Below are 16269 nucleotides of genomic sequence, written 5' to 3' on the forward strand. Positions count from 1 at the left end.
CAAAATGTATATTTCCAAATTCGCAATAACTTAGGCCCATGGCCCTATGCCTAATATCTCTTTGCAAAAATATGCAATTAACCAAGCATAATAGAAATAGTTCATAATTTAAAAAAAAAAAAACAAAAACACTTCTCTTAAGCATCATTTGCTAAGGTATGTCCCCTTAAGTAGTTCAATTTTCAGGATGACAAACAATATTCAACTGGGTAAAGAAGAATTAAGCAATTTTCTACTTAGAGGCTTCAAATCTTCAAAAGCTAAATTATCTTACGTTAAAAAATAGTCTACTTGAAAAGTCCATGGCACCTTATGCCCAAAATAGCACATGAAGGAATCAGACATTGTGCATCTACAATAAGAAAAATGACAAACTGATCTGTTTCTGTTGGTGGTGCCTATGGAAGACACGTATGAAGACTGTGATCAAGCACTTAAGAGCAGGGTCCTCTCTGCACTTAGAAGAAAATGGAGGTGCCCAACTGGCCCCTCTTCAAGCACTGCATGTGGGCAGCAAAGGTCCACCTGATGTCCCACAAGCAGCTCAGGCTGAATAGGCATGAAATGAACTTCAGAAGATTCTACTCCTCATAACAAGCTAGACAACTCAGACCAGCTCAGCCACTGAGAACAGCTAGAAAACATGGACAAAGTAGTCTTAAAATCCATGCAAGCATCAGAGAGCTAACAAGAACTACAGGGCTACTGTCTAGCAGAGGGGGAAAGACAGAGACATGAGCCTGACAAACATCCCCTAGAGGTGCCTGCAGATTTCAGAAGAGTTCACCAAGAGAATCTGAGCAGAATCTGAGCAGAACCTTTGACATACTCAAAGGACTCGATGTGAAAAACAGTGGTGTTCAGTGTTCCCCATGGAGAGTGGATAGCAAATCTGGGAAGCTTCAGGTAGGGCCACAAAGCAAAGGGTAGACCGTAAATAAAGCAGCCCTCACTGGGCCTAAGGCCCAGCTTTGAACCATGTCAGTCCCTGCAACTGGTAGGCCATTTTTCTACCAGAATTTATTCCTTGTCACTCCTTGTTCTACCCCCATTTTTTTTTACCTTTATGTATTGGTAATTCTCTTCCCTCTGACAATCTGATATCCTAATATGCCCCAATTTTTGGTCTCAGTTCAAATGCTACCTCTTCCATAATGCCTCCCCTAGCTGTCCTAATGGAAAGCAAGTACGTCTTCCTCAGAGTTCCAGCATCTTCTCTGTCCTGAGACCCGTGCCTACCTCCTGCTGATCTGTATACATGCAGAGAGCCCGGTAGGAGATCAGAGGGGTCGGGGCTGAGGTGCGGCTCCCCTTCTACCTGGCTGAATGAACTTCATCAAGTCAAATAACCTTCTACAAGCTTTAAATCCATCATCCCCTAAATGGGAATAATTAGAACACATATACTGTGAGGTTATACAGAAGAATAAACGAATTATTGCATAGGAAGGATTTATCACAACGCCTGGTACGGGGCAAGCATTCAGTAAAAAGAGCTGTTCTTATTCCTACTGCAGCAAATTATGCATGTCTTACATTCCTTCATGACTACAAACTCCTTGAAGACTGAATTCTTGTCAGATTCACCATTATGCCCCTCATAGTAGCTGATGCAGGCTCTAACAAATTGTAAGCCCTCAGTAAATAGTAACTAAATGAATGAATAAATTACAGGGTCAAATCCAGTATTTAGTTGACACGCACACAGTTTACACACACACGCTCAATAAAAATTCCATCATCCCAAAGTCACATTCAACAACCAACTCCTGGTTAACTGAAATTTCATCAGGTAGATATGTGCGAAGACTTATTTGTAAAGACTCAATCAAAAGCTGTTAAGTTTGAATGAGTTTATTTTCTCTCTTTTTTCTCATTTCTCTCAGCACCATGGACACAATTTATAAAATCTCTCCACGACACCATAATGCCTGCTGTGAAGGGTACTAGTATTATGAACAGAGCCATGTGCAAAACGTAAACTCCACATTTCTCTAGCATGTTACCCCAGGAACCAGGTCAAGCGGACCTCTAAGCAAGCATGGTATGAAAGACCACTCAATGTGACTTCACCCAGTAAGCCGTCCTCTGTTGAGTGAAGGCCAGGTGCCCAAAGGGGTATTTTTGCCATCTCATCTGTGTGTGTGTCTGTGTGTCTCTCTGTATCTCCACCCCTCTCTCTGACATATACACAGGACCCGTAATACAGCCTGGCCAGCTCCTCCCGAGGGAAGGCTCCCATCCTTCGCAAATTACACCAACGCTTTTATCTCCTGAAGGACCCAGATTCTTTTTGTTTGTTTGTTTTTGCCTTGGAAATACCAATCCTATTTTACACTTATAACAATGGTAAATTCTTCATTTCTGGAAATGGTCAGAAGTTTTGGCCTGTAGAGGAAAGCAGAGTGAACATCTGGCTTTTGTCTGCCCAGCATTTCTCGTTTCTTTGGGGAGCAGCTCCTTCTTCATCCCATGTGGTTCTGGTGGGATCAAGGTTGGCCTTGATCCTGCCATGGCCAGAGATGAAAACATCCCATCAACAGTGTGTATCCAGAGAACAAACAGAAGGTACGAGAAGGGACATGAAAAGCCCTCCTTTGAGATTTGATTTACAAATTCTAGGAAGAAAAGACTCCGGTTTGTCTTCCTCTGAATCACGTTATAAAGATCCAGCTATGGGCCAGCGTGGTGGCTCACACCTGTAATCTCAGTACTTTAGGAGGCTGAGGTGGGCGGATCACTTCAGGTCAGGAGTTTAAGACCAGCCTGGGCAACATGGTGAAACCCCATCTCTACTAAAAATACAAAAAACAGCTGGGCGTGGTGGTGCATGCCTATAGTCCCAGCTACTGGGGAGGCTAAGACAGGAGAACTGGTTGAACCTGAGAGGCAGAGGTTGCAGTAAGCTGAGATCACACCACTGCACTCCAGCCTGGGTGACAGGGAGAGACTCGGTCTCAAAAAAAAAAAAAAAGAAAGAAAAAGAAAAAGGAAAAAAAAAAGAAAAAGATCCAGGTATGGGGCCTGCCTGCAACCCTCCTTCCACAACACATTGAGATACCCTGGGCAACACACAACTCTATGAACCTTAGTTTTCTTGGCTCTAAAACAGGAACCAACTAAAAAACTCAATGAGATTTGATGTAAAAGTACTTCAGAAAAACACAAATCAGCAATGTTTTAGAACTAGGAGGCTGTGGGATATGAGCACTTTGCAAAAAAAAAAAGAAAAAAGTCTTAAAATTCCATCTGAAATTTGCCTCCTTTTTGGACACAGACCTCAAAATCTCCAAGAAACCCCCAAAACCTGTCATCTTCAAGCTCAGAAAAATACTAAGAAAGCCACTCCATGGATTCTTTATAGACTACAGAAGTCTGTTCTCAAATCCAACTAAAGATACAAAACACAAGAAGCATATAAATTACAAATGGGGACAGGTAGGAGGCAGAAGCCAGCCTTCGGAAAACTGAAGCTGAGCCCTTCGCCCATACAGGAACAGAGCTGGAGAGAAGGGGGCAGCTGCAGAGGGATGGCGAGAGATGAGATGGAATAAGATGTCGTGAGCAGGGAAGCAAATCACTGGGCGCGCCTGGGAAGGATCTCTCTCCAGCTGGGGTGGGGTGGAGGGGAGAAAATTATGTTCAATCATTTAGCCAATTTTTCTGCCAACACAGGCTATCACAAATAGAACAGAGAACAGATTGGGATGACAATTAATAGGAAGACAGGACAAAAAAAGTTACAAACAGATGAAGGCGGCCTAGTAGGAGGACTAAAGAGTTTAGTGGATTTATCAGGACAGAGGGTATTTAAGAATGGTATGAGTCTGGTAGATCATCATGAATAAAACTGAGCTTTCAGAGAGAATTTCATACTTCCCATTTATAGTGCTCAACTTTTCTATTAAGAGCAACTCTGTGGGAAATTCAGAAAGACAATTTTGTATGCTAAAATAATACTTCTCTCTAGAATTCAGCCATATCCCAACCATGATGACAATTGGGGAAAATGACAGCTGAAAGCAGAATTTGTGCAGGGGAAAGAAAAAGCAGAGTCACAATAAAAACAGCTCTTCTAGAAAGGGGTGAGGGCCAAGGGCCACGTCCGTGGCCTGGCACCAGGCGCTCAGTGCACACCATCCAACTCTTCACACCCTGCAAAGTCAGGCATTCTCTTACCAATTCTACAGATGAAGAAGCTGAGGCTCTGAGAAGGTAAGTACCTTGCTCAATATCACACAGCTCATCAGAAGCACAGCCAGAACTAGGCCTCATGACAACTGGATTGGTCACTACCCAGCAAAACTGACCCAAGGAATACATTTCAGTCCCCACACTGAGCTTCCAGAAAAGCTCACCAGCCAAGGTTGTTCTGTAGCACATCACTGGGTCAAAACTGTACACCATGCGTTCCACTAAACCGATCACAAGGACCCTTGCAGGGGCTTAGCATCTATCTCCAGTGGTGGGATCTATGCAGGGATGTGTCCATTTTGGTACACTTTCAAAAGAGACACTAATGCATAAGGTTGAATACATTTTACTCTCTTGTGAGAGGCACCAAAAATAAACTAGAATAAAATACATTAACAAAGGCAACAGGAGGCAACAATCGCTCAGTGGGAGTTTGTCAGGGTATGCTGTTCCAGGTAGAATATATTTTAAAGATGCTTTCTCATTTAGTCATAAAATCTACAGGTGCCAAAAAAGCCCATCTGGTTATCATAAAATATCCTCAAGAAAACCAAAGCAGTAGAAGCAGTTGGCTAAGAAATTAGCCAATACTCATCCTTAATTTCCATAAAGAAAGCGGCATGCTCGTTCATTCAGAAACTTTGGAATATGCTTAGGAAAGAAAAAATAATCATACAGGAATAGTGGCCTTCACATACTATTCAAATGGCAACAGTCCACATTCCCCATGGGCAGCCTCACTTTGAGATTGGTCTTCCTTCTGTTGGATGCTCCCTGCAGTGGGACCAGACGTAAAGTCCTCTGCCCTCACTGACATCAGAAGCCTCCATGTACAGGAGGCTGTAACTACCAGCTGAACACGTGAAATGTTCTGGGTGGTTCCCAGCTTGTTCTAAACTTAGACTGTGGGGACGATTGCACAACCCTGTGGATACACTAAAAGTGACTGAATTGTGCCTCACGTGAATTCTATCACAACAAATATTTTTTAAAAACTAAAAGGGTAGTACAACTGTGTTACAGTACAACACACTTTGAGGGTAGGGGGGAAGATAAAGAGAAAAGAGAGATTATATCCAAATGAATAACGATTAGACCAGAAGCTAACCTCCCAGCAGCAAGGGAAGTCATAAGAATTCATCTTCAAAATATGAAAGAAAATTCATCTGCTACACTAGACTTAGGTATATGCAGAACTTTTTTTTAAGAATGACGGTGACAAACACATTTTTTGGCTAAAAACTAAGAGAACCTACCACCAACACGTTCTCACTAGGGACTTCTAAATATTATATTTCAGGTACATAGAAAATAATTTCAGAAGGAAGGTCAAAGATGTAGAAAAGAATGGGAAACACAGAAAGCAGTAGGCAAGCAGATACATCGAACATTGTGCTTTAGTCAATTCCGTATGTTTTCTTTTTCTTTTTTTTTTTTTTTTTTTTTTTTTTTTTTTGAGACACAATCTCTCTGTCGCCCAGGCTGGAGTGCAGTGGTGTGATCTCGGCTCACTGCAATCTCCACCTCCCGGGTTCAAGCAATTCTCTGCCTCAGCCTCCCGAGTAGCTAGGATTATGGGCACCTGCCACCAAGCCTGGCTAATTTTTTTTCGTATTTTTAGTAGAGATGGGGTTTCTCCATCTTGGCCAGGCTGCTCTTGAACTCCTGACCGACCTCGTGATCCACCCACCTCGGCCTCCCAAAGTGCTGGAATTATATATAGGTGTGAGCCACCGCACCCGGCCTCTTTTTTCTTTTTTGAGACAGAGTCTTACTCTGTCGCTGAGGCTGGAGTGTAGCGGCGCGATCTCGGCTCACTGCAACCACTGCTTCCCAGGTTCATGCCTTGGCCTCCCAAGTGGCTGCGATTACAGGCGCACGCCACCACACCCAGCTAATTTTTGCATTTTTAGTAGAAATGGGGTTTCACCATGTTGGCCACACTGGTCTCAAACTCCTGGCCTCAAGTGATCCACCAGCCTTGGCCTCCCAAAGTGCTGGGGTTACAGGTGTGAGCCACCACACCTGGCCTCCATATGTTTTCAATGTACCAAATATTCCCTTGGCCTCTAAAACGTACAAAGCAACATCACATAGGCAGAAAAGGTCCTTTAAAGTTGCAGCCCTAAAATCTGAGAGTGAGATTTCCTTCTAGGGTCCCAGATAACTCCACATGGCAGTGCACACAGACAGACACTTCCTCCCAGTCATTTCACAGGGAGTCCAGACTGTCACCTGCCAGGGGAAATGTAAACATTCACACAGCAGCAAGGCCATCTCACAACAGGCACAAGCACATAACATGCTCCAAGAGCCAACGTCCAACCAAGACTGCATGTGGCACCTGCTGGTAAGAATGATCTCCTTTGCTGGACAAAGACACTGGCCACACAGAAAACCAACTACAAAGCACTTTTAAAGCACTGGACAGTCCTGTTAGCAGAAGGATATTATTGCATTTTCTTCCCTTCTAAAGATGGTTAAGAAAAAAAAGAAGTAGGGCTGGGCACGGTGGCTCATGCCTGTAATCCCAGCACTTTGGGAGGCCAAGGCAGGTGGATCGCCTGAGGTCAGGAGTTCAAGACCAGCCTGACCAACATGGTGAAACCCTGTCTCTACTAAAAATACAAAAAAAATTAGCTGGGCATGGTGGCAGGCGCCTGTAGTCCCAGCCACTCAGGAGGCTGAGGCAGGAGAATGATGTGAACCCAGGAGGCAGAGCTTGCAGTGAGCCAAGATCGGGCCACTGCACTCCAGTCTGGACGACAGAGTGAGACTCCATCTCAAAAAAAAAAAATTAGCCAGGCATGGTTGACACACGCCTGTAATCCCAGCTACTCGGGAGGCTGAGGCAGGAGAACTGCTTGAACCTGAGAGGTGGAGGTTGCAGTGAGCTGAGATCGCGCCACTGTGCACTCCAGCCTGGGCAACAAGAGCAAAACTCCATCTCAAAAAAAAAGAAAAAAAAAGTGGATGAAACTGAAGCAGGTGAGGACTCAGCCACAGGTAAGGAAGGCATTTGTGAGCACTGGGGATCGGTCCTGGAGGGTAGGCCCTCTTCTGCGGAAATCATCAAGAGAAGTGGAAACTGTGGCTGGGGCTTTTAGGACCCCTTTTAGGGGGTCCCTCTGACTGACACAGGAAGTCAGACTTGGATCTGGGCGCTTACAACAGTGACCTGCACTGACATCTTTACTAGACCATAGAGTGCTAGGGGCAGGAAGCCTGCATTTAAAGTCTGTATCCAAATAGTTTGCCACAGTGCCTAGCACATAGTAGCTATGGAGAAAGATATTTGCTGGGTGAATGAATGAGCTAATGTCATTTCCTAGTTCCTCTGTGATAAGAAATGCCTCGCAGCCTCAGGTGCTGCCCGGCACATGGGAAGCCCAGGACACGCCTCCGAGGCCAGCATTTCCAGGGACAGTGATGCAAGGACACTCCCTGAAGTTGTGTCATGTGGCAGCCAAGAACTGTATGCCTGCACTGAAAAGCACCTAATAAGGACATGAATGAATGACTTTGTGAATTAATGACTTCATGAATGAATAAGTAAATGACCATCTTCCAGCAAAAAGAGAGAAAAGCAGTTTGTTGCTAGGCTTTCAAATCCAAAGATTATTTTTTAAAACTGCTAGTAAATCACTGCCTTTTCTTTTTTTTTTTTTTTTTTTTTTTTTTTTTGAGATGGAGTCTTGCTCTGTCGCCCAGGCTGGATTACAGTGGTGCAATCTCGGCTCACTGCAATCTCCGCCTCCTGGGTTCAAGCAATTCTCCTGCCTCAGCCTCCCAAGTAGCTGAGATTACAGGTGTGGCACCACCACACACAGCTAATTTTTTTTTTTTTTTTTTGTATTTTTAGTAGAGGCCCCTCTCTCTCCTCCACCACACACACAAATGTTAAGTCCCTGGAACTGACTTTGCTCTTTTCTGCCACAGGGTTTTTACACGCACATAAAACAACACTTTCCTACCCTACCCTTTTCACCTATTTAAGTCCTGCCCCTTCTGTAAATCTTACCTCAGTAATTATTCCCACAGAAAAGTCTTCCCAGCCCTTTAAATTAAGTCAAACCCTGATTATATACTCACAACATCACATATTCTGTACCTAGCATTTAGCAGTTAGTAGAGACAGGGTTTTGACACATTGACCAGGCTGGTCTCGAACTCCTGACCTCAGGTGATCCACCTGTCTTGGCCTCCTAAAGTGCTGGGATTACAGGCGTGAGCCACTGTGCCCAGCCTGTTTTTTTTAAAAAAACATCTTAAAATAGAGATGGGTCTTGCTATGTTGCCCAGGCTGGTCTCAAACTCCTAGGCTCAAGCTCAAACTCCTAGGCTCAAACGATCCTCCCACCTTGGCCTCCCAAAGTGCTGGGATTACTGGTGTGAGCCACTGCGCCTGACCATAAATCACTTCTCTGTAGTATAAGAATGCCAGAATGGATTGCTTTAAAGAGTAATGAGTTCCTTGTCACTAGAACTGGCCAAGCAGAAGGCAGGTAACTTCTTGGCCAAGATCTTGGGGAGCAAGTGGAGGGAGGAGGAACTGGGGGAACCTGGCTTCCTCACAAGGTAGTATGAACTGCTTTTGTCCTTTTCTCTCTCTATTACCCTAGCCCGGAGCAGAGTCACTGGATGAAGTCCCAAAGGATTAAGAGACATGCAGGTCTGGGTTCAAGTCCTAAAGGTGTTCTCTTCACTTGCCCAGAAGCAATTTGCTGAAAGGAGCACTAGATATGGAGTCGAAGCCCCGGCCCCTCTGACCTGAGGAAAGACATTCAACGTCACTGCGCATCAACAGTGACGATCTCAACAGCACGGAGGTTCCAATCCTCTTATGCCTCCACCCCAGGTTTTGTGTCTTTTGTATCTTGTTTATACGTGTTACTCCATTTCTACTTGAAGAGAAACACAAATAAATGAACATCAATTCCCCAAAGAAAGCCACAGAAATAGCTCAATTAACATACGTTATTTTAGGATAAAAATCAGGGAAACAAAACCAGAACACTGTCAGTTTGAGATTAAAGTAGAAGGCCTATTTCATAGGATAATAAAGGAAGAATGGTGGTTTCCCAAGCCAAAGCGTGACATGTGCTTGTTCTCCTTTTAGAAACTAGAAATTCAAAGTATAATCTGAGTGTTTCGTGTGTTCTTCACAGTTGTACCAAAGCACTGCGCATCCCTAAAAGACAGGCAAAGCCATTATCTCTTCATTAAACAGTCAGCCGAATCAAAGAAATCACAGAGCTGACAGTTTCAAGGTAGAGCATTGATTTTTAAAAGTCTCCAAAGTAAAGGCTCACCCCATCATCCCTCAAAATGTTTCTTCTGCACAAATTAGTTTTAACTCCTATGGCCTAAGTTTCTTAAGGACTTTTTTTTTTTTTGAGACGGAGTCTCACTCTGTCACCCAGGCTGGAGGGCAGTGGTGCGATCTCAGCTCACTGCAACCTCTGCCCTCCGAGTTCAAGCGATTCTCCTGCCTCAGCCTCCCGAGTAGCTGGGATCACAGGCCTCTGCCACCGCGCCCAGCTAATTTTTTGTGTTTTTAGTAGAGACGGGGTTTCACCATCTTGGCCAGGCTGCTCTTGAACTCCTGACCTCGTGATCCACCCGCCTCAGCCTCTCAAAGTACTGGGATTACAGGTGTGAGACACCGTGCCCAGCCTCAAGGACTAACTTTATAAAGGCTTCTTTCTCCCCTCCCTCCCTTCCTCTCTCTCTCACACACACACTTCCTCTCTCTCTCTCTCTCGCTCTCTCCCTCCCTCCCTCCCTCTCTCCCCACCACACACACACACACACACACACACACATAAACACACCCTCTCTCTCCCCTACCACACACACAAATGTTCAGTCCCTGGAACTGGCTTTGCTCTTTTCTGCCACAGAGTTTTTACACACACATTAAAAGAAAAAAAAAAAAAAAAACCTTTTCCTACCCTACCCTTTTCACCTATTTAAGTCCTGCCCCTTCTGTAAATCTTACCTCAGTAATTATTCCCAGAGAAAGCCTTCCCAGCCCTTTAAATTAAGTCGAACCCTGATTATATACTCACAGCATCACATATTCTGTACCTAGCATTTAGCAGTTATAATTTTTCATTTATTTGTGAAATTGCTTATCCCTCTCACTAGACTTATGCTAATACAGTAGCCACTAGAGAAATGTGGGTACTTAAATTTAAAGTAATTAAAATTAAATACAATTAATAATGAGTCATTGAGATCAGGGGTCCCCAACCCCCAGTCCGTGGCCTGTAGGAACTGGGCCATGCAGCAGGAGGTGAGTGGAGGGCCAGATCAGCAGAGGCATTAGATTCTCATAGGATCACAAACCCCACTGTGAAATACACACGCGAGGCATCTAGGTTGCACGCTCTTCATGAGAATCTAACGCCTGATGATCTGAGGTCGAACAACTTCATCCAGAAACCACTGTCTTCCATGAAACCCAACCCTGGTGCCAAAAAGCCTGGGGACTGCTGCTTTAGATATACCATCCATGTCTCAAGTGACCAAGGCCACATGTGGCTGGTGGCTGCCATGGTGGACAGTACTGCACAGGCCATTCCCTCCAGTACAGAAAGTTCTGTGGATGGTGCCACCCTGGACGCTGAGCTCCTAGAGGGCAGAGACTGTGTCTTATTTTAATCTAGACACTCCCAAGAGTAGCAGAGTGCATGGAATAAAACAGATATGCAATAAGTATTTGTGAGGAAGACAGAGAAAAAAAAGAACTATGACTGCTTTCTTTGCTAAACCGTGCCCCACTTTATAAAAACCCAGAAAGAAGGAAATTGTGTAAGTCCTGTTACCTGATTAGAAGAGAACATTAAGAATTAGTTACTTCCATAATTTAAGACCGTATGACATAATTCCAAATCTTCTATAATTCCTGCTCTCTATTCAACAAATACTTGTGAGTACTTAATATGTGCCACACAATACTACACACACAAGTTAATTCAAGATGGTTCATAGGCCTAAATGCAAAAACTAAAACAATACATTCTCTAGAAGAAAACATAATATTTCCATGACCTTGATGTAAGTAAAGATTTCCTAAACAAAAATTAGTGCTAACCAAGAGGAAAATAATTATAATACAATTAAGAAATCTAAGAAAATTTACAATTTTTTTTTTCTGCGTTGGAGTTTCACTCTTGTTGCCCAGGAGGGAGTGCAATGGCACAATCTTGGCTCACTGCAACCTCCACCTCCCCAGTTCAAGCAATTCTCCTGCCTCAGCCTCCCGAGTAGGCTGGGATTACAAGCGCCTGCCACCATGCCCAGCTAGTTTTTTGTATTTTTAGTAGAGATAGGGTTTCACCATGTTGGTCAGGCCGGTCTCTAACTCCTGACCTCAGGTGATCCACCTGCCTTGGCCTTCCAAAGTGCTGGGATTACAGGCGTGAGCCACCATGCCTGGCTGAAAATTTATAATTTTTAGTTAAGAAATCTAATTTAAAAAATTGATAAATTCTCTTCATTAAAAGACAACATCAGGAAAGTAAAAAGCCTAGCCACAGAATCTAAAATGTGTGCAATACTCATAGCTGACAATGGACTAATATCCAAAATATGTTGAGTACTACTATAAATCAGTTGGAAGGTAAATAACCCAATAAAAAAATGAAGAAAATATTTTAATAGACACTTCACAAAAGTATATATCCAAATAATAAGTATATAACAGATGTGCAACATCACTGGCTACTTGGGAAAAGCAAGTTAATACCACAGTGAGACAATACCACATGTAGACCAGAACAGCTGTAATTTAAAACACTGACAATACCAATGGGTGGCGAGGAGCTGGAGCAAGAGAGAGTTCATACATAGTGCTGGGATGTACAGAAATCCCAAGAACCACTTTGAAAATCTGTTTGGCTATGGATCTATTAAAGCCAACATAAACCTGAGCTTATGTCTACCAAATACATGCACAAGAATGTCTATAGCAGCATCATTCATAACAGCCCAAAAGTAAAAACCACCCACATGTTCATCACAAGTATAATGAATAAACTGTAGTATTTTCACGCAATACCATCCAGCCATAAAAAAGAACAAATGCAACACACAATATGCATGCATCTCAGATATCATGTGGAGGAAGAAGGAAAAAAACAAGAGACACTGATTTCAGACTTCTAACAGGGAGACATTAAGAGTATACAGTTGTGACACTTTAGGCCAAAGGAAAAAAGAAAACAAAAGAAAGTACACTGTATTTCCTTTTTTTTTTTTTTTTTTTTTGAGACAGAGTCTCACTTTGTCACCCAGGCTGGAGTGCTGTGGCGTGATCTTGGCTCACTGCAACCTCCGCCTCCCAGGCTCAAGCGATTCTCCTGCCTCAGCCTCCCAAGTAGCTGGGATTATAAGCGTGTGCCACCATGCCCAGCTAATTTTTATATTTTTAGCAGAGATGGGGATTCACCATGTTGGCCAGGCTGGTCTCGAACTTCTGGCTTCAAGTGATCCACCCACCCCAGCTTCCCAAAGTGCTGGGATTGCAGGCGTGAGCCAGAGTGCCCAGTCACTTATTTCTTCTACACGGAATTTAAGTAAAAACAAAACTAATTTATGATGATAGAAGTCATAATTGACAATTATCTTTGTGGGCAGCTATTGACTGCCACAGGTCTCAAGAGAACTGGAGGGTGCTGAAAATTATTTATATCATGAGCTGGGTGTTTACATAGATTCATATGAACATAAAAATTCATCAAGCTATAAACTTAACATTTGTGTTCATTACTGTATGTAAGTTACACTTCCATAAAAAAAGACTTCAAACACCACTTAACAAAAAATATCAGGGAATAAATCTAGTAAAATCTGTGGGACCTTTATAGAGAATATGAGGCAATATTTTTGAAAGACATTTAAAATGAAAAATAAATGAAGAGACATACAATATTCATAGATAGGAAGACTAACCACCATAAACACGTCACTTCTCCCCCAAATTAATCTATAGATTTGATGCAGTCCCAGTCAATATTCTAACATACTGCTTTGAGGAACTTGACAAACTGATTCTAAAATTGATGTGGGCTGGGCGTGGTGGCTCATGCCTGTAATCCCAGAAATTGAGAGGCCAGGGAGGGCGGATCACCGGAGGTCAGGAGTTTGAGACCAGCCTGGCCAACATGGTGAAACCCCGCCTCTATTAAAAATAAAAAAATTAGCTGAGCGTGGTGACACACGCATGTAGTCCCAGCTACTGAGGAGGCTGAGGCAGGAGAATCACTTGAGCCTGGGAGGTGGAGGTTGCAGTGAGCCGAGATCATGCCACTGCACTCTGGCCTAGGCGAAACAGTGAGACTTCATCTCAAAAAAATATAAAAAATAAATAAAATAAAATTGATGTGGAAGATCATCAGACAAAGAACATCCAAAAAGCTCCTGAACAATCATCTAGTAGGGAGACTTGCCCCATCAGACCTCAAAACTCATCATCGCAGGGAACAGAGAATAAGCAGCAACTAGGTCTGCCTGGAGAAACCCAGAATTTGGAACAACTGCCTTGAGATTCAGAGAATGAGTAAGAGTTTTTCAAGAAAACAAGCAGAAGACAGTCTATACCAGTGGTTCCCAAACTTTGCTGCACATTAGAATCTTTTGGGGTGCTTTGAAAAACTGTAAGTCCAGTTAAATCTCCAAATTTAGGACTAGGAGCCAGGCAGTGTTTTTTAAAGACCCCCAGGTGATTCCAGAGTGCAGAAAAGCTGGAGAACCACTGGTCTATTCTTGCAGTAAATATGAGAGCACGGTGCAACTAATTCAGAATTCCTGGAATATAAACCACAGGAGGGAGGAGGGGGACAGGGAGGCAGCAGCAAGAGCAGAGCGGGCAGGCCCCAGGAAAGGTTGTCCTGAGGGTGACGGGATGCCACCAGAAGTCACCCAACAGAAGAGGGGCACAGTGAGATTCTGCCTTAGAAACATGACTGCGGTGACAATGTGGAAGATAGTGGAAAAGGGGACAAAATTAGCAGCCGGGAGCCCAATCCAAAAACTACTAAAATGGCAAAGATGAGAAATGACAAGGGCCTGAATCAGAGCAGTGACGCGGACACGAGGAGAAGGCGTGAAAATACTTAGAAAACCAAATTGGCAAGACTTGGTGTGATCAACACGATGAGCTAACAGTAAACCAACTGGTAGTGATCCGTAGAAATCATCCCTTTCCTCTTTGGACAAAAATACTCTGAAATCCCTGTCCTGAACACCTAGCTGACTTGTCTCACGGTGAGTCACCGCCAGCCTGGGCGGAAAGGGCAGTAATGAGAACAGCCAGCTCAGTGGTCCAGGAGACGTCGGTTCCGGCTGCCTGCAATGGGGATCACCTGTTGCTGATGAATGACAAACACCTGGATTTTCATTCTATCCTGCTAGTTTAGGAAGTTATTTTCCAACCCAAATTTAAATCAAAGAAGTGAGTCAACCTCCCCACCTACAGGCTAACAGTGGCTAGGGAGACGTGCACTTACAGGTTATTAGACAGATGTCTGGGGCATATTCAGCTTACGGGTGTTGGAAAACTTTCAGTGTCCAAAGGAGACCCAGCACCAGGAAGGTGCTCCTGAGAGCTCCAGGGAAGCAGGAGCAGGCTGACCTTTCCCTCGGCTGCGCCGCCACGCTGTGAAATTACTGCCTATGAGTCAGACTCCGGGGAGATGGCACGGGCTAAATATAACGCTGGGCAGGCTGTCCGACGCGTCATTAACCTTTTTCCTTCAGAACAAAGGCGGATAACCCACCGAACACAAAACAAAAGTAGCGCATAATATGACAAATGGCCAACATAATCCGAAAATAATTGCAGATCTGAATTAAACTGTAAGATGTGAATTGATTTCAGCTCGAAGATGTAGAGAGCTGGAAACAACAATGCGCCCCTCTTGTGACGAGGTAAAAGAGTTGGATATACTGAAAATTAACTTTCCCTGCCTGATCAGAGAGCTGGGGCCACGGGGAAAACAGCTAGCCTGGAATGGAGAGAGAGGCCCCTGCAGGGGAAGCGCGACCCCCGTGCTGACGCCGGGGCTCCAGCAAACACCAGGCAAAGCAACAAAAAGCTTCAGCTGGAACCTTCAGGAACTGCCCAAGGCTAGGGTGGGCTGGCAAGAGTGGAGGGGCCCGGGCGCTGCAGACATAGGGGCTTCCCACCAGGAGCTCACTGGGAAGAGGGAGCAGGCCCCGGAGAAAGCTGCTCCTTGGAGCAGCTGGCTTGGGGGCACCAGGCCAGCCTCCCTTTCTGTTTCACGGAGTCAAAGCAGAGGGAAGAACAACGAAGACGGCAGCAGTGTGAGGGCACGGAGGGAAGCCCCACGCCAGCCTCCACCCAGACGCACCACCCTCAGCCCCCTCAAATCAGGAGCCCACAGGCAGGCGGGCAGCTGGGGGTGGAGGGGCGCTGAGCTGCATGAGCACATGAGGACGTCTGGAGAGACCGAGCCTAGGAACAAAGTGTAAGAGGGCCTCAGATGGGGCCCTCGGGAGTTCCAGTGTTTCCAGGTAAAGAGGAAAAGGAAGAATCTCCAACTGAATGGGACAGAGAGCTGCTTCTGAGGCAGTAAGAAAAGCAAGAGTATTGGGGGAGGATGCAGCCACCAGGCGCTAGGAACAAAAAACAAGTAAGACTCCGGCCCTGCCCGCGAGATGAGGGTGGTGGAGTGAGAAGGACCAAAGTGCAGGTGTGCTTCCCTTTGCTCGGGACTCACTGGCACGGAGGCCGCATCCACCTCCTCACGGCCGTGGAGGGGATGCGTGGGAGGCGCCTGGACACCTACACCAACACACCGTGCACTCCGCCAGGTCCTCTGCTCTCGCCAGCCCCTGGGCTCTCTGGCCTCAGGAAAGAACCCAAGTTTCCATGAAATCCCTGGCCTTCTTCTTAGTAACACGTTTGTGGGAAAAACTCAGGCAAATAGAAATTGCAAAGAGAAAAAGAAATATTATGGCATTAAGATTCCAATCACCTTTGTCTTTGAATTCTGGGTAATTCAGGATGAGTCACTGTTCTTTAAAAAATAAGACTACGAATTCCAA

The 16269-nt window shown here is 44.7% G+C and overlaps 1 protein-coding gene across 18 annotated transcripts in view, besides 1 other annotated feature; it reads right to left on the minus strand.

Annotated features, from left to right (window-relative positions):
- Positions 1-16269, minus strand: part of TRAPPC9 (trafficking protein particle complex subunit 9) — a 730855-nt gene that overhangs the window by 495908 nt on the left and 218678 nt on the right. The window lies entirely within an intron of this gene.
- Positions 14164-14364: a silencer, noted in NCBI's record as "peak7188 fragment used in MPRA reporter construct". NCBI's record gives its function as "represses an SCP1 promoter by STARR-seq MPRAs in K562 erythroleukemia cells {active_cell/tissue: K562}" and the evidence as "EXISTENCE:reporter gene assay evidence [ECO:0000049][PMID:32103011]".

This window comes from Homo sapiens, chromosome 8, assembly GCF_000001405.40.
Source record: "Homo sapiens chromosome 8, GRCh38.p14 Primary Assembly".
Lineage (NCBI taxonomy): Eukaryota > Metazoa > Chordata > Mammalia > Primates > Hominidae > Homo > Homo sapiens.